Source organism: Homo sapiens, chromosome 19 (assembly GCF_000001405.40).
Source record: "Homo sapiens chromosome 19, GRCh38.p14 Primary Assembly".
Taxonomy (NCBI): domain Eukaryota; kingdom Metazoa; phylum Chordata; class Mammalia; order Primates; family Hominidae; genus Homo; species Homo sapiens.
Window position 1 is genome coordinate 2,524,230 of NC_000019.10, and position 24,495 is coordinate 2,548,724.

A 24,495-nucleotide genomic window follows, 5' to 3' on the forward strand; every position below is an offset into this window, starting at 1 on the left:
CCGTGCTGGCTTTTCTGTTTTGGGCGAAATTCCCTGCGAGATGCTGCCTTTGGGCTGGGTAATAACCCAGGCCTGCCAGGAAGGCCAGAGAGGACTGCGCTGTGTGTGTGTGTCTATGTTTATTTGCATGTATGTCAATGATGCACATGTGACTGTACACGTGTGTACACGTGGTGTGCATGTCAGTGTGCACATGTGTATGTGTGTGCACATGTGCATGTATGTGTACCTTGCGTGTGCATGTATGTGTGTATGTGTATACTGGCATTCATGAGTGTGCATATATGCGTGTGTGCACACATATCTGCATGTGTATGTGTACCTGCATATGCATGGGTGTGCACGTCAGCATGCATATGAGTGTGCATCCTTGCATGTGTGTACATGTGCATGTGTCTATATGAGTGCATGTACACATCTACGTGTGTGCGTCTGCATATGAGTGTGTGCATAGGTGCATTTGCATACGTGCATGTGTGTGGACATGCATGCCAGTGTGCACGTGTGTATGTGCACGTGTGTGGACACGGCACTGCATGTGCGTGTGCGCACACGTGTGTGGGCATGCATGTCACTATGGGTGTGTGCATGCGTGTTGGCGTGTGTGTACGTCACTGTAGGTGCGTGGATATGTGCGTGCGTGGGTGTGTACATGTGTCTGCATGTGTACATGCGTGTGCGTGTGTGTGCGCACGGGAGTGCATGTGGATGCTTGGGCTGAGATGCCGAGACTCAGACACAGATTGCATCACCCATGCAGTCGCCTCCCTAAGTCCCCGTCTCGGTGGTGTCACCAGCCGGCACTGACTCAGGAGCAGCCATGCCCCCAGCAGAGGACTAAGCCAACAGCAGCAGAACTGGCCACGCACTGAGTCAGCCAGGAACGCCCCTCCCAACTGCCTCCCTGCAGAGGCGCACGGGTGCCGGGCACCCCGACCTGAATGAGCTTGCCTCGGGGCCCGTGGCCCGGGGAAGCTGTGGGAGGGGCGGGAGCAGGCAGCTCCGGGGGCAGGGCCAGGTGGTCAAAGGTGCACACAGTCCCCACGGCTCCCTCCTGACGGTCGGGCTCTGCCTCGGTGCACAGGCTCCTGCAGGCAGGCAAGGCTCCAGGCCAGGCTCTCCAAAAATAAAACTGAAGAGGGACGCCGCCCGGCCCCGCGCTGGCCTCCTAGCAAAAGGCTCATAGCCACACCCGAGTCTAAGCCCGCCTCGTGCAGAAAAATCCCACTCGCGCCTGAAAGTCAAGAAGGATGAGGGTACCCCCCCACTCCAGGACATAGTGGAAATCTGTGGTCGCTCAGGGAAGGGTGACCAGCCCCGAAACAGAGCAGACCTGAGCTGATCAGACACGAGGCTCCAGTGCACAGAAGGGCTGAACAAAACCGCAGGACAGGAGCTGGCAGCACCGGCAGGGAGGGAGGTGGGACCACAGGGACCCCCAGGGAGCAGCCGCCCTCTAACCCCTTGCTCCGGCAGTTATCCCGAGGGCAAAAAATGAAAAGAAATAAAAATCTACATATAGAAAGGCGTTTATAATTGCGTTATGTGTAAGAGTGAAAAGTTAGAATGAAAGCAAGTGCTCTGCCTCTTTTTTTTTTGAGTCGGAGTCTCGCTCTGTCGCCCAGGCTGAAGTGCGGTGGCGCGATCTCAGCTCACTGCAACCTCCGCCTTCCGGGTTCAAGCGATTCTCTTGCCTCAGCCTCCCGAGTGGCTGGGATTACAGGTGCCTGCCTCCACGCCAATTTTTTTTTTTTTTTTTGAGACAGAGTCTGGCTCTGTCTCCGAGGCTGGAGTGCAGTGGCGCGATCTTGGCTCACTGCAACCTCCTCCTCCAGGGTTCACGCCATTCTCCTGCTTCAGCTTCCCAAGTAGCTGAGACTACAGGCGCCCGCCACCACGCCTGGCTAATTTTTTATATTTTTAGTAGATACGGGGTTTCACCGTGTTAGCCAGGATGGTCTCGATCTCCTGATCTTGTGATCCGCCTGCCTCGGCCTCCCAGAGTGCTGGGATTAAAGGCGTGAGCCACTGCGCCTGGCCAATTTTTGTATTTTTAATAGAGACGGGGTTTCCCCATGTTGGCCAGGCTGGTCTCAAACGCCTGACCTCAGGTGATCCACCCGCCTCGACCTCCCAAAGTGCTGGGATTACAGGCGTGAGCCACCGCGCCTGGTCTACTATTAGTTTATAATATAAACTTATACTATATTATACTATAGTATTATACATTTATTACATATTTATATATTTTATTATATATTTGTTTACTCATATATTTATATTTATACTCATATTTATATTTATGTCATTTATCATGCATTTATTACATATTTGAAGATTCATTCACTATATATTCATATCAGTTTTGTATTACTAATATATAGTTTTAGTATTTAGTATGTATTATACACTTATTGCATACATATTTTATATTTATTCATCATTTACATAATTTATACATTATTAATTATATAGTTTGATTTCTATTTTGACATTTACATTGTTTGCTATTGATTTTATATTTGTATTTATAATATATTTAGATTACTATTTTATATCTGTATATATGTATTATATAGTTATAGAATCTGTTATAGGTTTATTGAATATTGTTTATCTTAACTTTTTTTTTTTGAGAGGGAGTCTCGCTCTGTCGCCCAGGCTGGAGTGCAGTGGCACAATCTCGGCTCACTGCAACCTCCACCTCCTGAGTTCATGCCATTCTCCTGCCTCAGCCTCCCGAGTAGCTGGGACTACAGGCGCGCGCCACCACACCGGGCTAATTTTTGTATTTTTAGTAGAGACGGGGTTTCACCATGTTGGTCAGGCTGGTCTCAAACTCCTGACCTAGTGATCCACCCGCCTCAGCCTCCCAAAGTGCTGGGATTACAGGCGTGAGCCACTGCTCCCGGCCCTATCTTAACTTTTTATTTTGAAACAATTATGGACTCAGGCAGTTGCAAACATAGTCCAGGGAGCCCCACGCACCCTCTCCCGGTCCCCTCCAGGGCGACGTCACCTGTGACTATGAGACACTATCAGAACCGGGACCCTGAGGTCAGCCCAATGCTGTGTCTCACTCAGACGGCACCACTCCCACCGGCCCTCATCTGGGGGTGCAGAGGGAGTTTTGGTGTCGCGCATCCCTCCAGGAAGGGGGCCTGGGTTCCTGCCTGGAGGCATCGCCCCTCTGGAGCTGTGCCCCCGCCCTCGAACCTGTCCCCACTGGGAGGAGGAGAGGAGGTGAGGAGGTGTGGCCTAAACGTTTGCTGAGCAGATGGCTGAGCAGACAAAGACCCAAAACTGCGACAAAATTGACAGTGGTGTCAGTAAAGAGAGACACAGCCTAGGGCCCCAGTCTGCAAAATGGGCTGAACTCCGAAGTTCCTAAAATCCTAAAGAGACCTGATCTACACCGGGAAGTTTAACTCACTCCAGTACAGGCCCTCTCCCTCTGGCTGGATCCTTTTCTGGGGTGGGGCTGTCCTGGGCACTGCAGGGTGCTGGGCAGCATCCCTGGTCTCCACCCACTCCTTGCCAGGAAACCCCCCCCCCCACCAGTGCGCCCACAGTCATGACCAGCACAAATGTCCCCAGACTTGGACAGGTGTCCCCTGGGGGAAAATTTTAGGCCTTTATGGAACTCCCTTATCAGGAGAAATCCTGCAGCTCAGAGTGGTTCCCTTAGGCAAAACGCAAAGAGTTTGAACCCAGCTGACTGAAGGCCCCAAAAATAAATGGTACTGAATGAAAATATGCTAGGCGTGGTGGCTCATGCCTGTAATCCCAGAACTTTGGGAGGTTGAGGCGGGTGGGTCATTTGAGGTCAGGAGTTCAAGACCAGCCTGGCCAACATGGTGAAACCCCCACGTCTGCTAAAAATACAAAAAAATGAGCCAGGCATGGTAGTGCGTGCCTGTAATTCTAGCTACTCAGGAGGCTGAGGCACAAGAATCGCTTGAACCCAGGAGGTGGAGGTTGCAGTGAGCCAAGATCGCGCCACTGCACTCCGGCCTGGGTGACAGAGTGAGACCCTGTCTAAAAAAAAAAAAAAAAAAAAAGGCCTGGCTCAGTGGCTCACGCCTGTAATCCCAGCACTTTGGGAGGCCGAGGCGGGCAGATCACGAGGCCAGGAGATACAGACCATCCTGGCTAACACGGTGAAACCCTGTCTCTACTAAAAAAAAAAAAAAATACAAAAAAATTAGCCGGGCATGGCGGCGGGCACCTGTAGTCCCAGCTACTCAGGAGGCTGAGGCAGGAGAATGGTCTCAAAAAAAAAAAAAAAAGTAAATACAGGGGTGTTTCCAAAAGGGCTTTAATTTTATTAGCATCCCAGAATGCTTTGTGACTAGGAGAGGCCCCACAGGGCGGGAGTCTTCCCCCAGATGTGAGCCCCGTTGCATTTGAAGGGAGTGAGACCACAGCTCCCACAGAGGAGGGAACTCGGGAAGGTGGTAGGCCAGAAATCTGCCCTTGCTCTACCAAGCTGTGTGGCCTTGGGAAAGTTTCCTTCCCTCTCTGAGCCCCAGTGACCTCTGTTGGAATTCTCAGAGGGACACTCTCATCTCTGCACCAGGCCTGGCCCCCAGGTTCCTGTGTGAGGAAACAGGGGTTCCAGAGTCTGGCAGGCAGGAAGAGGACCCTCTTCCAGGGACCTGTGGCAACTGCCAAATATAAACACAGCTGCTGGAAAGACAAGGTGGCTGGAACATCCTGCACCCAGCGAATGTGGAAGGGCCGGTTTGCCCGGAGCTCTTGAGAAATCTCACTCCCCGTGGACTTGCACCCTGTCGCCACTCCCCTGACCTGCCCTGAGGCTGGGGTGCAGCAGGGAATTGCAACAGCCCCCCACCGCCGGCCCTGGAGAGACCTGGGCAGAGCTGGAAGCTGATCAGATTAAAAATCAGCATGGATCGGATTCGGGATAGAGCCACAAACTGGGTGTCCTGAAATTACCCATTTTTGTGTTGGTGGGTTTTTTTGTTTGTTTGTTTGTTTTTTGGAGATGATGGCTCACTCTGTCGCCCAGGCTGGAGTGCAGTGGCACCAACTCGGCTCACTGCAACCTCCGCCTCCCAGGTTCAAGCGATTCTCTTGCCTCAGCCTCCCGGAGTAGCTGGGATTACAAGCATGCGCCACCACGCCCGGCTAATTTTTGTATTTTTAGTGGAGACAGGGTTTTGCCATGTTGGCCAGGCTGGTCTCGAACTCCTGACCTCAGGTGATCCACCTGCCTGGGCCTCCCAAAGTGCTGGGATGACAGGCGTGAGCCACCACGCCCGGCCCATTTTTGTGTTGTTGAACTTAAAGCATGAGCTTGGGCAAATCCCTTCTTCTTCTGAGCCATAGGGTAAAGGTGAGAGGAGAGTCTTGTAAGCTCCGTGATGAGTTCCAGAAGTCCAGGGTGACCAGTCATGCTTAGATCATTTCCGTGTCATTTATGGACTCGATGAGAGACAAAAGGGCCTCTGGGGACTGTGAGTTGCATCAGCCTCTTGCTGAACTGACAGAACATTCAGGTTTCAGGGAGAGGTGAGGTCATTGCCAGGGATCTTGTTCAAGGGATAAGGGCTGACACCTGCTCCTGAAGAGGGACCACACGGTGCCTGCCTGGAAATGGAAAATCCGGGCTCGCACTCTGGCTCTGCTCCTGGTTTTTGGGTCTTGGCTTCCTCAGCTGGAAGATGAGAGGGCTCCTCTCAAGGCTGAGGATGGGTCCCCATTTGTCATCCTGTGGCTCCAAGATCAAGAGGATCTAGAATATCCATGACCTCCTTCTAAACGACTTGGACTTTGGGTTAAAAATCTCTCTTGGCAGATTTTGGCTTGCACAATGGTGGATTAGCAGCTAAGGACAAACCCACTCTCTTGCTGAGGTCCACTAGAAAAGCTGGACAGGGCCGGGTGCGGCGGCTCACGCCTGTGATCCCAGCACTGTGGGAGGTCGAGGCGGGAGGATCACTTGAGGTCGGGAGTTTGAGACCAGCCTGGCCAACATGGTGAAACCCCATCTCTGCTAAAAATACAAAAATTAGCTGGGCATGGTGGCACGTGCCTGTAGTCCCAGCTACTTGGGAGGCTGAGGCACAAGAATCACTTAAACCCGGGAGGCAGTGGTTGCAGTGAGCTGAGATTGTGCCACTGCACTCCAGCCTGGGCGACAGAGAGAGACCCTGTCTCAAAAAAAAGAAAAAAAAGCTGGACAGGGCTGGGTGCGGTGGCTCAAGCCTGTAATCCCAGCACTTTGGGAGGCTGAGGTGGGAGGATCACTTGAAGTCGGGAGTTTGAGACCAGCCTGGCCAACATGGTGAAACCCCGTCTCTATTAAAATACAAAAATTAGCTGGACGTGGTGGCGGGTGCCTGTAGTCCCAGCTACTCAGGAGGCTGAGGTACAACAATCACTTAAACCCGGGAGGCAGAGGTTGCAGTGAGCTGACGTTGTGCCACTGCACTCCAGCCTGGGTGACAGAGTGAGACCCTGTCTCAAAAAAGAAAGAAAAGCTGGACAGAATGTCAAAGCATCTGCTCAAGGGCCTGCAGGGTTATTAAGATAATGGAGAATTTCCAGCCAGGATTTAGGGGAGGATCGAAAGAGAGCCTGGGTTTGGGGTCACTTTTTCCTGGGGTTGGGAGGGTTTGCTGAGAGGCCGAGTGATATTTCTATCAGCTTCACGAGGCCAAGGGTACAGAAATTGAGGTCCAGGGTTTCCTGAGGAGAGAAGGCTTGGTAAATTCCCCCTTGGTGTGAATTGGGACAACTTAATATTGCACTGTAAGAGTAACGGTCACAGCTGGGCACAGTGGCTCACGCCTGGAATCCCAGCACTTTGGGAGACCGAGGCAGGTGGATGACCTGAGGTCGGGAGTTCAAGACTAGCCTGGTCAACATGGTGAAACCCCGTCTCTACTAAAATACAAAAATTAGCTGGGCATGATGGCGGGTTCTTGTAATCCCAGCTAGTCAGGAGCTGAGATGAGAGAATCCCTTGAATCCGGGAGACGGTGGTTGCAGTGAACCGAGATCGTGCCACTGTATTCCAGCTTTGGCAGCTGAGTGAGATTCCGTCTCAAAAAAAAAAAAAAAAAAAAAAAAAGGAGTAAAGATCAAGAGGAAGCAGACAGGTCCTTCTAGCAACTACAGCAGAGTTTTGAATAATCTCAATCCCTAATATTGGATTAAGGTGATGCGAGATTGCTGGTGGCCCCAAATGCCTGGAAGAAGTAAACATAAATCCCCTCTGGAGGAAAATAATACGATCCCAGGCCTCAGATTATTTCTACATGCAAATCCGCAATACAGGCCGGGCGCGGTGGCTCACGAGGTCAGGAGATCAAGACCATCCTGGCTAACATGGTGAAACCCCGTCTCTACTAAAAATACAAAAAATTAGCCAGGCTTGGTGGCAGGCACCTGTAGTCCCAGCTACTCCGGAGGCTGAGGCAGGAGAGTGGCATGAACCCGGGAGGTGGAGCTTGCAGTGAACCGAGATCGTGCCACTGCACTCCAGCCTGGGTAACAGAGCGAGACTCCGTCCCAAAAAAAAAAAAAAATGCACAATACAATATCTGGCATGCAAGTAAGACATACGAGGAGCCAGGACCACATAAACAAAAATCAGCAGAAATAACCAGCACTGCCAGGTGCGGTGGCTCACGCCTGTAATCCCAGCACTTTGGGAGGCCTAGGCAGGCGGATCATGAGGTCAGGAGATCAAGACCATCCTGGCTGACACGGTGAAACCCCGTCTCTACTAAAAACACAAAAAATTAGCCGGGCGCCATGGCAGGCGCCTCTAGTCCCAGCTACTTGGGAGGCTGAAGCAGGAGAATGGCATGAACCCGGGAGGCGGAGCTTGCAGTGAGCTGAGATCACGCCACTGCACTGCAGCCTGGGCAAAAGAACGAGACTCCGTCTCAAAAAAAAAAACAAAAAAAAAAACAAAAACCAGCACTACAAAGAGACCCACAGGGTTTCCATATACTGGGAATTGACAGAGACTTTAAATTAATTGTGTTAATTACGTTCAAAGAGATAAAAAGATGAGATTGGAATTTTCGCTGCAAATTGGAACAATGGGGAAAAAAAGGAACCAGTGGATATGGAGAAAATGACAATATCTGAAAAGTAAGAATTCAATGGAAGAAATAAAAATTAGTGAACTGGAAGACAGAACAGAGAAAAATATCCAGAATGAAGCAAGACGACACAAAGGGAAAGAAACTACAGAAGAAAGAGCAAAAGACATAGAAGATGCAGTGACGTCTAATATACGTGTTATTGGAACACCAGAAGGAGGAGAGAGAGAATGAAGCAGGAACAATCTTTGAAGAGATAATGACCAATAACTTTCTAAAACTGATAAAAAGACCTCAAGCCACAGATTTCAGAATCCCTAGAACCTCAGGCAAAAGAAATGTCCTAAAAAGTGGCAGAGAAATGGCCAATAAGCACATGAAATGGTGTCTAATGATTAGTCATGAAGGAAATATGAATTAAAGTCATCAAGAGAGACTGCCTCTCAACCACTAGAGTGGCAAAAATTTAAAAGACTGACAACACTAAATATTTGGGAGGATGTAGAAGAACTGGAGGCATCATCCATTACTGACAGGAATGTGAAATAGTACAACCACCATGGAAAATGGCTTAGCAGTTTCTTATAAGGCTGAACACATACCTCACCTATGACCCAGCAATTCCACTCCTAGGGATTTATTCAAGATAAATAAAAACATGTCTCCATAAAAGGACTTGTACGAGATGTTCATAAGCTTTTACTCATAACAGCAAAACCTGGAAACAACCCAAATGCCTGTCAACGAGAGAATAAACAAGCCATGGCATTTCACACAATGAAATACGGCTGCACACAAAAAAAGAATAAACTATTGAGAGATCAAGCAACGTGTATGATTCTCAAAAATATAAATGTATTCTAAAAAAATAAAAGATAATACATTATTCAATATTAAATATTAGTATTTAATTAATATTAATATATTAAATATTAATATTAAATATTTAAAAAATAAATGCCTCTCAAAAATAAAAAAAGTAAAGCAACAGAAGCTGGATATTAGAGGTGCATATTATATAATTCCATTTATATAAAGTTCAAGAATAGGCAAAACTATGGTGATAGAAATGAAAACAGAGGTTGCTGCCTCTGGCCAGGGTGTTGGCTAGAAAGGGCCATGAAATAACTTCTAGGGTGATGGCGATGTTCTCTATGTTGGTTGAGCTGTTGGTGTACACAGGTGTACACATTTGCTAAAATCCATCAAACTGTATCTTTAAGATCTGTTCATCTTACTGCATTTGAATTGGACTTTGATAAAATCAGTTAATTACAAACAAAAATCAACAAACAAAAGTTGCCAGAGGAAAAAACAGCAGCAATTAGGTGGACCCAGTGAAAATATCCTTCAAGAATTAGGGGGAAATAAGGGCATTTTCAGATAAACAAAACCAGACTTTCTCACCAACAGACTTGCCTTTTAAAAGGTAAAACTAGAGAAAGATAATTCCAGATGAAAGGTAGAAAATGCAGGAAGAAGTGAAAAACAACAAAAATGTTGTAGAGAGGAAAGAGCTTGATAAGATAATTCTAAAATTCCAGTGGAAAGATCAACAGGAAGTGAAAAACTCTGCAAAAGCCTTAGAACAAACACACATGAATCATATCAGCCTTCAGCTCAGTCCTCACCTCCAACCAACCCACAACAGAAGATGTTCTATGCTTCTGCCTTCACATTTTTATTATACGATTTTTATTATATAATTTTGGTCACGGGATTCCAGTGATAGGAGTTATAAATATTATTTCAGGAGTTTACTAGTGACATTAATTGAATTTTGCAATTCTACACACACACAAAATGAAGTCAGCATCTGAAAAAATATATATACATCCTCATCCGCTGTGACTGGTCCAATGTCAGTGTGATAAGACTCAATGCCAGCTGTCCCCAGAGACTTTTCTTCAGTCCAGCCAGCCCCTCCTTGGATGTCCACTTCAGCAGTGCTCTGCAGCCTCAGGCAGATCCCCGTGTACTCCACCAGTGGCCTCCGCTCCACTCCCCACTCCCTCCATCTCCTAACAGCTAGAGTGCGCTTCTGAAAATGCAGTTGAATCTGTTCCTCCCCTACTCAGAAACCACCAGCAGCTTCCAATTCCTTACAAAATCAAGTGCAAAAATCAAGGCTTATTGTTCAATTCCCACTGCTAGGAATTCTTCCCCCAGCTCCAATCCCATCAAAGAACTGCCTTCTCTGATGCATGGCTCCAGGATCATCTCCTTTCTCACCCTGTGGCCTCATGAGCTCAGCATTTTCCAGATTCGGAAATCCTGGAGGGGGCCATGAGGGAGATGGCTGTCCCTGGGAAACTAAGACCCAGAGAAGGTAGATGGCTTGCCCAGAAGATATTTATTATAAGAAATTGGCTCACATAATTATGGAGGCTGAGAAGCCATAAGATGTACAATTGGCAAGCTAGAGAGACACGAGAACTGATAGTTTCTGTCTGAAAGCCAGCAGGCTTGAGACCCAAGAGCAGATGTTTCCACTGGAGTCCAAAGGCTGGAAAAACCTATCTGTCAGCTTGAAGGCTGCCAGGCAGGAGGAATTATCTCTTACTTAGCATTTTTGTTCTATTGAGGGCTTTAACTGATTAGATGAGGCCCCCACATTGGGGAGGGGGAGGAATATGCTTTACACAGCCTATGGTTCATTTCATCCAGAAACATTCTCACAGACACACAGAATAACATTTAAACAGATATCTGTGCACCCCATGGACCAGTCAAGTTAACACATAAAATTAACAGTTACAACAATCTTGGAGCCAGTCATTCAGCCCACCACATCATTCTCTCATGGCCCTCTGTTTCTTTTCTTGTAGTATTTATAATTTGATATTTGAGTTGTATGCCTACTGGACTGTCAGCCTCATGAGGCCAAAGATCTGGGGGCTGGGTGCAGTGGCTCATGCTGGTAGTCCCAGCACTTTGGGAGGCTGAGGCAGGAGGATCACTTGAGCCCAAGAGTTCGAGACCAGCCTGGGCAACATGGCAAAACCTTGACTCTACAAAAAAAAAAAAAAAATACAAAAAACTAGTTGGGTGTGGTGGTGCACACCTGTAGTCCCAGCTACTCAGGAGGCTGAGGTGGGAGAATCGCTTGAGCCCAGGAAGTGGAGGTTGCAGTGAGCCGAGATCATGCCACTGCACTCCAGCCTGGGTGACAGAGTAAGACCTTGTCTCAAAAAAAAAAAAAAAGATCTGAATTGTTGTCCCCAGAACCTGGTATATAAATGTTCAAGAGACATTTGCTTGGGGCCTGAAGCGGGGGCTATGCCTGTCTTTGCAGATGTCGACCTTAACCCTGGAAGATCTCTTTCCCCTGTGACATATTCCTTCTTTATGATGCGGGCTTCAAATGTTATTTCTTTTTGGAACACATGTTTTTTAATGGCTTCTAGCACCAGGTGACCTTGACTCGGAATTCCTAGAACACGGTACACTCGGAAAGTCATATGGGCTGTTTGTTGCAGACTAAATATTTGTGTCCTCCTCTGACCCCATCAAGTTCATATGTTGAAATCCTGGGCCAGGTGTGGTGGCTCATGCTTGGAATTCCAGTGCTTTGGGAGGCCAAGGTGGGAGGGTCACTTGAGCCCAGGAGTTTGAAACCAGCCCGAGCAACAGAGTGAAACCCCACCTGTACAAAAATAAGAAAATTAACTGGGTGTGGTGGTGTGTGCCTATAGTCTCAGCTACTTGGATGGCTGAGGCAGGAGGATCGCTTGAGTCCAGGAGTTGGAGGCTGCGGTGAGTTGTGACCACACCACTGTACTTCAGCCGGGCAACAGAGTGAGACATATCTCAAAAAGAAAAGAAGGCCGGGCGCGGTGGCTCCCACCCGTAATCCCAGCACTTTGGGAGGCCGAGGTGGGCGGATCACGAGGTCAGGAGTTTGAGACCAGCCTGGCCAACATGATGAAATCCCGTCTCTACTAAAAATACAAAAACAGTAGCTGGGTGTGGTGGCGGGCGCCTGTAGTCCCAGCTACTCAGGAGGCTGAGGCAGGAGAATTGCTTGAACCTGGGAGGCGGCGGTTGCAGTGAGCCGAGATTGCACCATTGCACTCCAGCCTGGGCAACAGGAGCGAAACTCCATCTCAAAAAAAAAAAGAAAAGAAAAGAAAAGAAAAGGGCCTCAGCTTGCTGTTTTTGAAACTGAAGCCACATGTTTTCTTCCTAATCAGAACTAAAGTGAAAGATTAAAACAATCGATGTTTTGTTTGTCTTGGAGCAAGAAATATAAGATCTGTGTTTCTGGCTTGCAGACAAGAGCACTGCCGCACTGAAGCGTGTGTGGGTCGTATATGTGACAGAGCACAGGAGGCCTGCAGCGAGGTCCCGACAGGGAGGACTTTCTTGGGCCGGAGACCTGGTTCTGAGCACGTCCCCTGGACTTCCCTGAGCCTCAGCTTTCTCGGCTGTAAAGTTCAGAACTAGACAGCGGTTTCCCCTGTGCTCCACGACACCCTAGGGGTTCTGTGCAGAGGCTGGGCCACCCTGGGTTCTCGGGAGGGGCTCTCTTGGCCTTGGGGTACAGTCTGTGCTTCCTGGTCGGACTCCATTTGTGTATGTGTATATTTTATTATACAGATAATAAAATATATATACATACATATTTTTATTTTTATTTTTATTTTTTTTTTTTGAGACGGAGTCTCGCTCTGTCGCCCAGGCTGGAGTGCAGTGGTGTGATCTCTGCTCACTGCAAGCTCCGCCTCCCGGGTTCACGCCATTCTCCTGCCTCAGCCTCCCGAGTAGCTGGGACTACAGGTGCCCGCCACCGCGCCCGGCTAATTTTTTGTATTTTGTTTAGTAGAGACGGGGTTTCACCGTGTTAGCCAGGATGGTCTCCATCTCCTGACCTCGTGATCCGCCCGCCTCGGCCTCCCAAAGTGCTGGGATTACAAGCATGAGCCACCGCGCCCGGCCACATACATATTTTTAGAGCCAGGTTCTCACTCTGTTGTCCAGGCTGGAGTGCAGTGGTGCAATCATAGCTCACTGCAGCCTCCAACTCCCGGGCTCAAGCGATCCTCCTGCCTGGGCCTCCTGAGTAGCTGGGACTACAGGTGCATGCCACTAGGCCTGGCTAGTTTTTTATTTTTTGTAGAGATGAAGTCTCTACAGCTATGTTGCCCAGGCTGGTCTCAAGCGATCCTCCTGCCTCAGCCTCCCAAATCACTGGGGCTGCAAGCGTGAGCCATGGCACCTGGCTATAATAAAATAAATCTGATATAGAATATAGAATAGGGTCATAATATATAAATGTAATCAACATATAATACACTGAGCATGCTCAAAGTGTACGGTTCTGATGGGACAGGAAGCTGGAGGCGGGAAACTGGCCCTGGAGTGGGGGTTGTGGTGAAGCTGGAGGCGGGAAACTGGCCCTGGAGTGGGGGTTGTGGTGTTAGGCTGGGACCCGGTTACAGTGACTGCAGGGCTGACAAGAAATTATGAAAGGTCTTGAGGGAAGCGACACAGAATTTCAAAAGAACATAATGAATGCACTTTGGGAGGCCGAGGCAGGCAGATCACTTGCGGTCAGGAGTTCCAGACCAGCCTGGCCAACACGGTGAAACCCCATCTCTACCAAAAAATACAAACATCAGCCGGATGTGGTGGTGCATGCCTGTAGTCCCAGCTACTCAGGAGGCTGAGGTGGGAGAATTGCTTGAACCTGGAAGGCGGAGGCTGTAGTGAGCTATGATTGCGCCACTGCCCTCCAGCCTGGACAACAGAGCAAGACTCTCTCTCAAACAAAACAAAACAAAACAAAACAAAACAACAATGAATGGAGAGGAGAAAAGCTGCAGTGGCTACGGAGGCCCTGATGCCATGGATGGTAAACTGGTATCTTCTGACGATGATGACTTTATTGTAAAAAGAGAACATACACGAGCATCAGGAATAAGGAAAGCCGTGCTGAGTGGCCCAGGTCAGTCTGCTGAGAATGAAACCGACCAGGTCAATTTTAGAGAGATCCCTCCACGATGCTATCCAAAGCATGCGTCAGGCCATCAGCAGTGGTGGTGACTCATGCCTGTGATCCTACCACTTTGGGAGGCCAAGGCTGGAGGATCATTTGAGGCCAGGAGTTTGAGACCAGCCTGGGCAACATAGTGAGACCCCCGTCTCTGCAAAAAAAAAAAAAAAAAAAAATTAGCCTGGCATGGTGGTGCACACCTGTAGTTCCAGCTACCCGGGAGGCTGAGGCAGGAAGACTGCTTGAGCCCAGGAGTTGGAAGCTGAAGTGAGCTATGATTGCACCGCTGCACTCCAGCCTGGGCAACAGAGCAAGACCCTGTCTTTAAAAAAACACAATAGAAAGGCATGCATATATTTTACTTACAAGGTTCACTACTCTAACAGCTCCACTGAGATTCCTGAATTCCTCACTGCATTGGAAGTGCTGATGGCTTCAGACTTCCTAGATATATATATTTTTCTTTTTTTTCTTTTTTTTTGAGACGGAGTCTCACTCTGTCTCCCAGGCTGGAGTGCAGTGGCGCAATCTCAGCTCACTGCAAACTCTGCGTCCTGGGTTCAAGCCATTCTCCTGCCTCAACCTCCCGAGTAGCTGGGATTACAGGCGCCCGCCACCATGCCCGGCTAATTTTTTTTTGTATTTTTAGTAGAGACAGGGTTTCACCGTGTTAGCCAGGATGGTCTCGATCTCCTGACCTCATGATCTGCCCACCTCGGCCTCCCAAAGTGCTGGGATTACAGGCGTGAGCCACGGCACCCAGCCCTAGATTGTTAAATAAATTATAATAAACTGTTAACTAATTTAGGTATTTAATACTTGTAGTTTAGTTAGTAATTTTTCATATATTGCATGTTCCTGTAAACAAATGAACTATAAACTGCGTTGCAAAGCAGATTATCTTCTGTTTTTTCCTTGCATAGTAATCAGAATTGAAATTTGTTTGTGACGACAATAAATTAAGGATATTTTCACAAACTGAGAAATAAACATATATACCAACTTTTTTTTTTTTTTTGGATGGTGTTTCCCTCTTGTCACCCAGGCTGGAGTACAAAGGCGTGATCTCGGCTCACTGCAACCTTTGCTTCCTGATTCAAGCGATTCTCCTGCCTCAGCCTCCCGAGCAGCTGGGATTACAGGTGTCCGCCACCACGCCTGGCTAATTTTTGTATTTTTAGTAGAGACGGGGTTTCACCATGTTGGCCAGGCTGGTCTCGAACTCCTGAACTCAGGTGATCTGCCCGCCTCGGCCTCCCAAAGCGCTGGGATTACAGGCGGGAGACACTGCGCCCGGCCATAAGCTCAATTTTAGACACATACGATATCCAATGGGGGATGGACACACACCTGACACGGTCCCAGTGGAGCCCTGAATGGACCTCTGTGCTGGAGGCTGGGTGTCGTCCCTCCCCCAGCTGCCCTGTCTCATTGGCCAAAGGGTTTAGGGAGAACAACCTAGAGGCCTTGCTCATCCAGTGGCCTAAAGTTCTGCATTCTAAATACACACCATCGCAGGAACTCACACCTCTCCTTTCTCCTTCCTGCCTCCCTCCCTTCTTCTTTCTCTCTCCCTCTCCTTCCTTCCTTCCTCCTTCCCTCCCTCCCTCTTTCTCTTTCTTTCTTCTCTCTCCCTCTCCTTCCTGCCTTCCTTCCTTCCTCCCTCCCTCCTTCTCTCTCTCTTTCCTTCCTTTTTTCTTTCTTCTTTCTTTCTCTTTCTCTCTGGCTCTCCCTCCCTCCCTCCCTCCCTTCCTTCCCTCCTCCCTCCCTCTCTCTCTCTCTCTGTTTCTTTCTCAATTTCTTTCTTTTCTTTTCTCCTTCCTTCCTTCCGTCTCTCTCTCTCTTTCTTTCTTTTTCTTCTCTGAGAAGGGGTCTTACTCTGTTGCCCAGGCTAGAGTACAGTAGTGTGATCCCACCTCACTGAAAACTTGAACTCCTGGGCCTAAGCCGTTCTCCTGCCCCAGCCTCCCAAGTAGCTGGGACCACAGGCACACACCACCATGCCCCCCTAATTTTTTAATTTTTTGTAGAGATGGGGGTCTCACTATGTTGTCCAGGCTGGTTTTGATCTCCTGGCCTCCGGTGATCCTCCTGCCTCAGCCTCCCAAAGTGCTGGGATTACAGACGGAGCCTCCACACTCGGCCTGTGCTCTAAGACTGATTCTTGCCGGGACCCTTAGCCCGACGGCGTGCCCAGCCTGTGCAGAGGGTGGGTGCGTGGGCCCCTGCTCGGGGGTGGGTGGGCTGAATCCAGGTGTCCTGGGCTGTAAAGCCAAGAAGCAGACAGCAGGCCTGGGGTGGTTGGAGATTTTGCGGGGACCCTGGGGGCGCTGAGGCTGGAGCATCCCGAGAAGTCCAAACCTGCCTGGCCTGTCTCTGCCGAGCAGACAGCGAGGCCCGCCGGGCAGCGGGACAGACTGGCTTCCCTCCTCCCGGGGAGACCTGCCGGAGCAAACCCAGCTCCTTTTTTAGGTCTGTGATGCCACGGCCACTCTTGGAGGTGTTTTCCAGCTGCACAGGAAGCCGTGACAGCGAGACCCAGAGAGGCTGGCGGTGGCTCTGAATTCCAAGCATAGTTCTCATAGTTGGGAAAGTGCCACTCCCGGCTCGATAAACCGACCAGGAGCCGCCGCCGCCAGGGCCATCTTCTCACCAGCAGGGAGAGAGCATGCAGCCGGTGGAGGCTTCTGAGAGCTGGCCGGGGCGGCCTGCGTAAAAGGACAGGAATGTCAAGAATGCACCCGGCCTGGCAGAGACAGGGACTTTACCGAGCGGCTCCTGGGCCTGGCGGCCAGAGAGGCGAGGGAGCGGGAGCTACCGAGGGTTCCTCCATCGGCAGGGAAGGTCCTGAGTCCCCCAGACCCTGTTAAAAGAGGCTGATCAGGTTGGGTGCGGTGGCTCGTGCCTGTAATCCCAGCACTTTGGGAGGCTGAGTCAGGAGAATTGCTTGAGGCCAGGAGTTCAAAGCCAGCCTGGGGCAACACAGTGAGACCCTGTCTCTAAAATAAAAAAATAAAAATAAATGTTCTTGGGGAAGCGAAGCCGAATTTCAGGAGAACATAATGAGGGTGCAGTGAGCTGGGATGGCACCACTGCACTCCAGCCTGGGCAATACAGCGAGACCCTGCCTCTAAGTAAAAAAATCAAGGCCGGGGGCAGTGGCTCACGCCTGTAATCCCAGCAGGTTGGGAGGCCGAGGTGGGTGGATCACGAGGTCAGGAGTTCGAGACCAGCCTGGCCAAGATGGTGAAACCCCGTCTCTACTAAAAATACAAAAAACAAAAAAATTAGCCTGGCATGGTGGTGGGCACCTGTAATCCCAGCTACTCAGGAGGCTGAGGCAGGAGAATCGCTTGAACCTGGGAGGCGGAGGTTGCAGTGAGCCGAGATCACGCCACTGCACTCTAGCCTGGGCGACACAGCAAGACTCCATCAAAAAAAAAAAAAAAAATTAAAAGGTAAGCTGGGTGTGGTCGCACAAGCCTGTAGTCTCAGCTACTCCGGGAGGCTGAGGCGGGAGGATGGCTTGAGGCCAGGAGTTTGAGGTTGCAGTGAGCTAGGGTTTCACCATTGCACTCCAGACTGGGGGACAAAGTGAGACTCTGTCTCAAGAAAATAAAAATAAAATAAGAAAGGCTGATCAGGGCCGAGGGCTGAGATGGGAAGAAATGGTGCTTCTGTACCCAGTGCTGCTGGGCCTCCTGTCTGGGGCTGGCTGCAGGGCGGCCCTTCCAAAGAGCTCCCTGTGGCAGGTGCACAGTCGGGCCTTGGCTAGGCTCATGGGAGGCAGCGCTGTGTGTTCTTTTTTTTTTTTTTTTTTTTTTTTTGAGATGGAGTCTTGCTCTGTCACCCAGGCTGGAGTGCAATGGCGTGATCTCGGCTCACCGCAACCTCCGCCTCCCAGGTTCAAGTGATTCTCCTGCCTCAGCCTCCCGAGTAACTGCGATTACAGGCGCTCACAACCACATCCAGCTAACTTTTGTATTTTTTAGTCGAGACGGGGTTTCACCATGTTGCCCAGGCTGGTCTTGAACTCCTGGCCTCAAGCAATCCACCCACCGCGGCCTCCCAAAGTGCTGGGATTACAGGTGCGAGTCACCGCGCCTGGCCTGGGGTGGGTTTTTTCATTTGTGCACTGAATGTTTATTACTGACAGCCAGCAAGGAAAGGGGGACTGCGCCCTACGACTGCAAGGAAGTGAATTCAGGAAGAACCTGAATGAGCTGGGGACGACAACTGGAAGCTTCGCGTCAGACAGCAGGCGGCTCACGTTTCAGTTTCAGCCTGGGAGACCCTGGGCAGAGGACGTCATTGCACCATGACCTCCAGAACTGTAAGCTCAGGCAGGCGTGTTGCTCTAAGCCACCACATATGCAGTAGTTTCTTATGCAGTGTAAGGAGCTGATACGCAAGGCCAGGATGGGACTGGTTGGGGTCTCCAGGCTGGAGGGCCCCCCGGTGAGCAGGCATGGGGTCCCACAGCCCAGGACAGCTTCAGCTCTTATTTGCCATCTGCTGCTGCTAGGTGTTAGACGCTGGACTGAGCATGCTGCACACATCATCTCTGCTGTTTTCCTTTTTTTTTTTTTTTTTTGGTGGTTTTTGTTTTGTTTTGTTTTGTTTTTGAGGCAGAGTCTCGCTCTGTCACCCAGGCTGGAGTGCAATGACGCCATCTCGGCTCCCTGCAACCTCCGCCTCCCAGGTTCAAGTGATTCTCCTGCCTCAGTCTCCCGAGTAGCTGGGATTACAGGCATCCACCACCACACCAGGCTTATTTTTTATTTTTATTTTTTTGTAGAGACAGGGTTTCACCATGTTGGCCAGGCTGGTCTCAAACTCCTGATCTCAAGTGATCCACCTGCCTTGGCCTCCCAAAGTCCTGGGATTCCATGTATGAGACGCCGTGCCTGGCCTCCTTTTTTTTTTTTTTTTTGACACAGGGTCTTGCTCTGTCACCCAGGCTGGAGTGCAGTGGTGCAATCACAGCTCACTGCAGCCTTGACCTCCTGGCCTCCAGAGATCCTCCCACCTCAGCCTTCTGAGTAGCTGGGACTACAGGTGTGCACCACCATGCCCGGCTAATTTTTAATATTTTTTCTTTTAGAGCTGGGGCCTCACCGTATTGCTCAGGCCAGTCTCAAACTCCTGGGCTCAAGCAATCCCTCTGCTTCGGCCTCCCAAAGTGCTAGGATCCCGGGCATGAACCCCCGCTCCCGGCCTGCAATTTTTCTTTTCACAGCCCTGAGATGAGGGTGCAGCATTAAAACCCGTGCAGAGGGTGGCTGCTTCTCCATGAGCCGAGCAAACCGTCCTCCCATGGCTGCTTCCTGTAAACCGGCTCCTAAGGCCAGCGGGCGTTTGCTCTCCTGACGGCACAGGAAGTCAGGCTCAGCGAATTCCAGCTCAGAGCGGGCTCTGGCGGCTTCCAGGCAGCTCCACAATGAGGCGGCTGCGCTTTTCCAGTCTGCTCATCAAAGCAGAGCCAGCCTTGTGTGGCGCGGCGTGCCGGGGTGAGTCAGCCCCGGGGGAAGGTGGCCTTGAAGGCGGGAGGGGCGGCCGGCCTGCAGCAGCAACGTGAGAACAGAAGCAACCTTCATCTGGCTCTAAAACTTCCAGAACCAGTAGCTTTATAGCTCGCAGAGCTCCTGGACTCTTTCCTCCTGGGGGTCTGGCAATCCCCCACCTCTCACCCCTCCAAACCTCTGCCTGCCTCGAAAAAGGAAAGAAAAATAAACCCCAAGCAACAAAACCAGCAACCAGATTTGGCAGGAGGGGAGACAATGCTTGGAGTGGAAACGTCAGCCCTTCCCCGTGGAGGGATGACTGCTTCTGAGAACACAGTGTTCAGAGACAAGAGAGACAGGGTGTTATGTTTAGAGAGGAAAAGATCCAAACCCAAACAAAATGGAACAGTAGTTTGGGAGAGAAGAGAAGGCTCCGAGGCACTGTGAGGAACAAGTCGCCTTCGTACAGTGGCTGGGGCAGCTGGGTTTGCAGAGAGCTGTGTCCCTGGGCACCTGCGTCAATGTGCACATCTGCACGCCTGCTGTGGGCACGAGGGCCTCAGCCATGAGCACCCCCGGGAGCCATGAGGACCTCAGTGCATCTCACAGAAGCCCCTGAGGACAGTGTGCAGTGGCGCGATCTCGGCTCACTGCAACCTCCGCCTCCCGGGTTCAGGAGATTCTCCTGCCTCAGCCTCCTGAGTAGCTGGGGTTATAGGCGCCCCCCACCCCCACCACGCCCAGCTAATTTTTGCATTTTTAGTAGAGATGGGGTTTCACCATGTTGGCCAGGTTGGTCTCAAACTCCTGACCTCAGGTGATCTGCCCACCTTGGCCTCTCAAAGTGCTGGGATTTTAGGCATGAGCCACCGTGCTGGGCCAACAGTGGCTCTTAATTGGGGGGGTGGGTGATTCAGCCCCGCCAGGAAACCCTGGGCGATGCCTGAGACATCTGTGGTTGTCGGGGTTGGGGGAGCTCCTGGCATGGAGTGGGTGGAGGCCAGGGGCGCTGCTCAGCAACCGTAAGTGCCCAGCACAGCCTCACCCCAGAGAAGGATCTTACCCCACTGTCCACAGTGCTGAGGGAGAAGACCCTGAGTTAATTATTTGGGGAAAATGGGGTTCAATCCCTACCCACACTAGAATAAGCTCCCAACGGGATGGATGGTGTGAACCAGGGGGACCCCCAACTCCTGGGATTCACCTCCTCTCTCCCTCCCAGCTCGGTGTGGATTTCATTGTGTGCAGCCTCCTGGGACCTCAGCACAGCAGAGGATCATGGGACGCAGAGTCTCTTGGGGGTCCGTGGAATCCCCTATCCCTGGGGGTTTCACCTAGAGGTAATTCCGTCCCCCAGGGGACCCTGGGCGCTGTCTGGCGACATCTGTGGTTGTCGTAACTGGGGGGTGCTCCTGGCATGGAGTGGGTGGAGGCCAGGGATACTGCTCAGCACCCTGCAGTGCCCAGGACAGGCCCACCTCAGAGAACAATCTGGCCGCCATGTCTACAGTGCCTAGGGGACCCTGGTTTAGACTCTGCAGAAAGGTGCACACATAGGCCGGGCACGGTGGCTTATGCCTGTATTTCCAGCACTTTGGGAGACCGAGGCGGGCGGATCACTTGACGTCAGGGGTTCGAGACCAGCCTGGTCAACATAGTGAAACCCCATCTCTACTAAAAAAAAAATCAAAATTAGCTGGGCATGGTAGCGCATGCCTGTAATCCCAGCTACTCAGGAGGCTGAGGCAGGAGAATTGCCTGAACCTGGGAGGCAGAGGTTGCAGTGAGCCAAGATTGCGCCACTATACTCCAGCCTAAGCAACAAGAGCGAAACTGTCTTAAAAAAAAAAAAAAAAAAAAAAGGCCAGGTGCAGTGGCTCATGCCTGTAATACCAGCACTTTGGGAGGCTGAGGTGGGTGGATCACCTGAGATCAGGAGTTTGAGACCAGCCTGGCCAACACGGTGAAACCCCCTCTCTACTAAAAATACAAAAAAATTAGCCGTGAGTGGTGGTGGGCACCTGTAATGCCACTACTCAGGAGTCTGAGGCAGGAGAATTGCTTGAACCCGGGAGGTAAAGGTTGCGGTGAGCCAAAATCGCGCCACTGCACTCCAGCCTGGGCAACGGAGCGAGACTCTGCCTCAAAAACAAAACAAAACAAAACAAAACAAACAAACGAAAAAGAAAGGTGCACACAGCTTCCAGAGCGGACACAGGGCATCAGGGTGAGAAGGCACAGGGCAACGATCAGGCGTTGATGTGTCCCCTGGCAGCTGGGATGCAGGCCCCCCACGGCCTGCCATGTTCTCACCAGGACGCCAAAGAGGGGACCCACGCAGAGCCCGGGGAGCCCGACTGAAATGGAAACTTCAATACAAGAGACAGGTCTGAGACTGGCCACACCTGCTGCCCGCTCCACAGAACCCCAGGGCCCCCTCAGCAACCAGGGTCTGCATGCAGAGACCCTGCACCCAGCGTGGGCACCCACCCTGCACCTGCAGCCTCTCCAGGGCCAGGTCGCCCAGCAGGGCCTGGGAGGGCGGCTGTGTGTGGGGCCTTCCGTGCCAGCTCTGACCGTTGGTGGCTCTGTGACCTCAAGGCAGGGCCGTGGGGCCCAGGGCTGCGGGCGGGAGGGCCTCTGCCACATGGAAGGGAGGGCCGCACTGGCTGGAAAATAGTGCCTTGTGACTGTCCCTGTCAGTGTGGGCCCTTTGCTCTCAGGCTAAATCGGTCCCCGGGGCAGCTATATTTAGAAGGGGCTAAAGAGAGGGAATGAATGAGGTGCCCACGAGAAAGTGAAAAATAGACCAGCGGGGCAGGTCCCGCCGCTGCCTTCAGCCGGAGCTTGGAGCCTAAGAATGAGCCGGCTTGTTCAGACAAAGAGGCCGCGACGACAGAGGGTGACGCGCCGCCAGTGTGGGTTTGGTCGCCGCGGTGACGGGAGCAGGAGAAAAGAAAAGCTGCTCTCTGTCCACCCGGCGGTGGGGTCGGCGGGGGCGGGGGATGACCACGGTCATGTGAGAGTTTGCAAGCCCGGGAACCGGGGCCGGGCCAGGACACTGAACCCCGTGGCTCCTGTCACTCCAGTTCTGGGCTTCCCGGCTGAGGAAATGCTGTCACCCTGGCCCCGGGCCAGGGCAAGGGGCAGCGCCGGCCTCGTGACGGTGGTGCTCGGGAGCTGAAGGGCAGGAGGGTTAGGAAGAGAACAGAGGGCAGTACCGGGCCTTCCCACCTCAGCACAGGTGGGTCTTTCTCCACGCATGCCCCCCCCCCAGAAAACTCCTACACATCCTGCAAAGCCCCACCGATGTCATCCCCTCTGAGAAGCCCCTGATTGCAACCATCTATGCACAGCCAGGCTGCACTAAAACCCCTTCTCCGCACACTGGCAGCTCCCTGGACGTTCGTTGTGTCCTGTGACATTGTGGCTGCTGCACACGACCCATGTTTCTCATCTCACAGCTCTGGGCTCAGAGTCCAACATGGGCCTCACTGGTTTAAAATCAAGGCACAGGCAGGGCTGGTCCCTCCTGGAGGCTCCAGGGGAGAATCTCTTTCCCGCCTTTCGCCTAGAGGTGCCCGTATCCCTCGGCTCGGGACCCTTCCTCCCCCTTCACAGACACAGCACAGCCTCTTCAGTCTCTCTCTGACTCTCACCCTCCTGCCTCCTCTCGTGAGGATCCTGTGAGGTCACTGCGCCCCCCCACCCCGGATCATCCACGGTGGTGCTCTCATGACTCAGGTGGTCCTTCACTCAATCCCACCTGCAGAGTCCCTTTTTCCATGTGTGGTGACACAGCCACAGCTCCCAGGGATTAGGACATGGATGTCTTTGAGGCCTTTGTTCTGCCAACCCCAGCACATCCCAGACACTGGGTACCAAAGATGCCACTTGGATGGAAGGGGCTGGAGGCCATGGTGCAGGGAGTTCACAAAGGGTGTTACTTCCTGGAACCCACTCTGTTCCCAGGGCCGATCTCCTTCCCAGGACAGAGGCTCCCAGGCCCAGGCAGCCCTCGGATGTGAAGTGCCTGCCCCACCTCCATCCATAGCAGGTGCTGCTGCTGTGCATGGGCACACGTGGCCTGGTAGGCCCACCCCTCTGGGCTCTGCAGCAGGGGCCGGCCCGTCCGGGCACACACATGGCCAAGGATGGACCTCGAGCCTGGGGTTCTCTGCTGTGGCCCGTGGGCTCCAGGTCACATCATCAGAATGGCTAGAGGTCACCAGTATCATGTGTGACATCTCCAGGGCCACCCCACTCCAGCCCTGGTGTTGTTAGAAAGTCCCGGAAAACTACAGGCCCAGGGAGCTTCTCCCTGAGGGCTAGGGATCATTACGGATGTTTTCATGTTAACAATGGAAAACAAAAATCAAAAAACAAAAACCAGGTATGGTGGCTCACGCCTGTAATCCCAGCACTTTGGGAGGCCGAGGAGGGCGGATTGCCTGAGCTCAGGAGTTCGAGACCAGCCTGGGCAACGTGGTGAAACCTGGTCTCTACTAAAATACAAAAGAAATTTGCTGGGTGTGGTGGCGGGCGCCTGTAATCCCAGCTACTCGGGAGGCTAAGGCAGGAGAATGCCGTGAACTCGGGAGGCGGAGGTTGCAGTGGGTTGAGATCGCGCCATTGCACTCCAGCCCGGGCGACAGAGCGAGGCTCTGTCTGGAAAAAAAAAAAAAAAAAAAAAACCTAGCCAGGCCCAGTGGCTCACACCTGTAATCCCAGCACTTTGGGTGGCTGAGGTGTGTGGCTCACTTGAGGTCAGGAGTTCGATACCAGCCTGGCCAACGTGGTGAAACCCCATCTCTACTAAAAATACAAAAATTAGCCGGGCCTGGTGGCGCTCGTCTGAAATTCCAGCTACTCGGGAGGCTGAGGCAGAAGAATCGCTTGAACCCACGTGGCGGAG

General features: G+C 51.6%; 1 protein-coding gene and 1 pseudogene across 2 annotated transcripts in view, besides 12 other annotated features; one reads left to right on the forward strand and one right to left on the reverse strand.

Annotated features, from left to right (window-relative positions):
- Positions 1 to 24,495, reverse strand: part of GNG7 (G protein subunit gamma 7) — a 191,476-nt gene that overhangs the window by 13,011 nt on the left and 153,970 nt on the right. The gene's annotated exons all lie outside the window — the stretch shown is intronic.
- Positions 5,364 to 5,423: an enhancer, noted in NCBI's record as "active region_13698". NCBI's record gives its function as "activates an Ori minimal core promoter by ATAC-STARR-seq in GM12878 lymphoblastoid cells {active_cell/tissue: GM12878}" and the evidence as "EXISTENCE:reporter gene assay evidence [ECO:0000049][PMID:35858748]".
- Positions 13,506 to 15,080, forward strand: ELOCP28 (elongin C pseudogene 28; annotated as a pseudogene).
- Positions 16,520 to 17,339: an enhancer, noted in NCBI's record as "NANOG-H3K27ac-H3K4me1 hESC enhancer chr19:2540747-2541566 (GRCh37/hg19 assembly coordinates)". NCBI's record gives its function as "activates a minimal SCP1, AML or CMV promoter by ChIP-STARR-seq in naive H9 embryonic stem cells {active_cell/tissue: H9 hESC(naive)}" and the evidence as "EXISTENCE:reporter gene assay evidence [ECO:0000049][PMID:30033119]".
- Positions 17,340 to 18,159: an enhancer, noted in NCBI's record as "H3K27ac-H3K4me1 hESC enhancer chr19:2541567-2542386 (GRCh37/hg19 assembly coordinates)". NCBI's record gives its function as "activates a minimal SCP1, AML or CMV promoter by ChIP-STARR-seq in primed H9 embryonic stem cells {active_cell/tissue: H9 hESC(primed)}" and the evidence as "EXISTENCE:reporter gene assay evidence [ECO:0000049][PMID:30033119]".
- Positions 18,980 to 19,799: an enhancer, noted in NCBI's record as "H3K27ac-H3K4me1 hESC enhancer chr19:2543207-2544026 (GRCh37/hg19 assembly coordinates)". NCBI's record gives its function as "activates a minimal SCP1, AML or CMV promoter by ChIP-STARR-seq in naive and primed H9 embryonic stem cells {active_cell/tissue: H9 hESC(naive and primed)}" and the evidence as "EXISTENCE:reporter gene assay evidence [ECO:0000049][PMID:30033119]".
- Positions 19,434 to 19,493: an enhancer, noted in NCBI's record as "active region_13699". NCBI's record gives its function as "activates an Ori minimal core promoter by ATAC-STARR-seq in GM12878 lymphoblastoid cells {active_cell/tissue: GM12878}" and the evidence as "EXISTENCE:reporter gene assay evidence [ECO:0000049][PMID:35858748]".
- Positions 19,800 to 20,619: an enhancer, noted in NCBI's record as "H3K27ac-H3K4me1 hESC enhancer chr19:2544027-2544846 (GRCh37/hg19 assembly coordinates)". NCBI's record gives its function as "activates a minimal SCP1, AML or CMV promoter by ChIP-STARR-seq in primed H9 embryonic stem cells {active_cell/tissue: H9 hESC(primed)}" and the evidence as "EXISTENCE:reporter gene assay evidence [ECO:0000049][PMID:30033119]".
- Positions 19,984 to 20,073: a silencer, noted in NCBI's record as "silent region_9802". NCBI's record gives its function as "represses an Ori minimal core promoter by ATAC-STARR-seq in GM12878 lymphoblastoid cells {active_cell/tissue: GM12878}" and the evidence as "EXISTENCE:reporter gene assay evidence [ECO:0000049][PMID:35858748]".
- Positions 20,620 to 21,438: an enhancer, noted in NCBI's record as "H3K27ac-H3K4me1 hESC enhancer chr19:2544847-2545665 (GRCh37/hg19 assembly coordinates)". NCBI's record gives its function as "activates a minimal SCP1, AML or CMV promoter by ChIP-STARR-seq in primed H9 embryonic stem cells {active_cell/tissue: H9 hESC(primed)}" and the evidence as "EXISTENCE:reporter gene assay evidence [ECO:0000049][PMID:30033119]".
- Positions 20,834 to 20,883: an enhancer, noted in NCBI's record as "active region_13700". NCBI's record gives its function as "activates an Ori minimal core promoter by ATAC-STARR-seq in GM12878 lymphoblastoid cells {active_cell/tissue: GM12878}" and the evidence as "EXISTENCE:reporter gene assay evidence [ECO:0000049][PMID:35858748]".
- Positions 20,964 to 21,013: an enhancer, noted in NCBI's record as "active region_13701". NCBI's record gives its function as "activates an Ori minimal core promoter by ATAC-STARR-seq in GM12878 lymphoblastoid cells {active_cell/tissue: GM12878}" and the evidence as "EXISTENCE:reporter gene assay evidence [ECO:0000049][PMID:35858748]".
- Positions 21,547 to 21,686: an enhancer, noted in NCBI's record as "active region_13702". NCBI's record gives its function as "activates an Ori minimal core promoter by ATAC-STARR-seq in GM12878 lymphoblastoid cells {active_cell/tissue: GM12878}" and the evidence as "EXISTENCE:reporter gene assay evidence [ECO:0000049][PMID:35858748]".
- Positions 22,532 to 23,476: an enhancer, noted in NCBI's record as "H3K27ac-H3K4me1 hESC enhancer chr19:2546759-2547703 (GRCh37/hg19 assembly coordinates)". NCBI's record gives its function as "activates a minimal SCP1, AML or CMV promoter by ChIP-STARR-seq in primed H9 embryonic stem cells {active_cell/tissue: H9 hESC(primed)}" and the evidence as "EXISTENCE:reporter gene assay evidence [ECO:0000049][PMID:30033119]".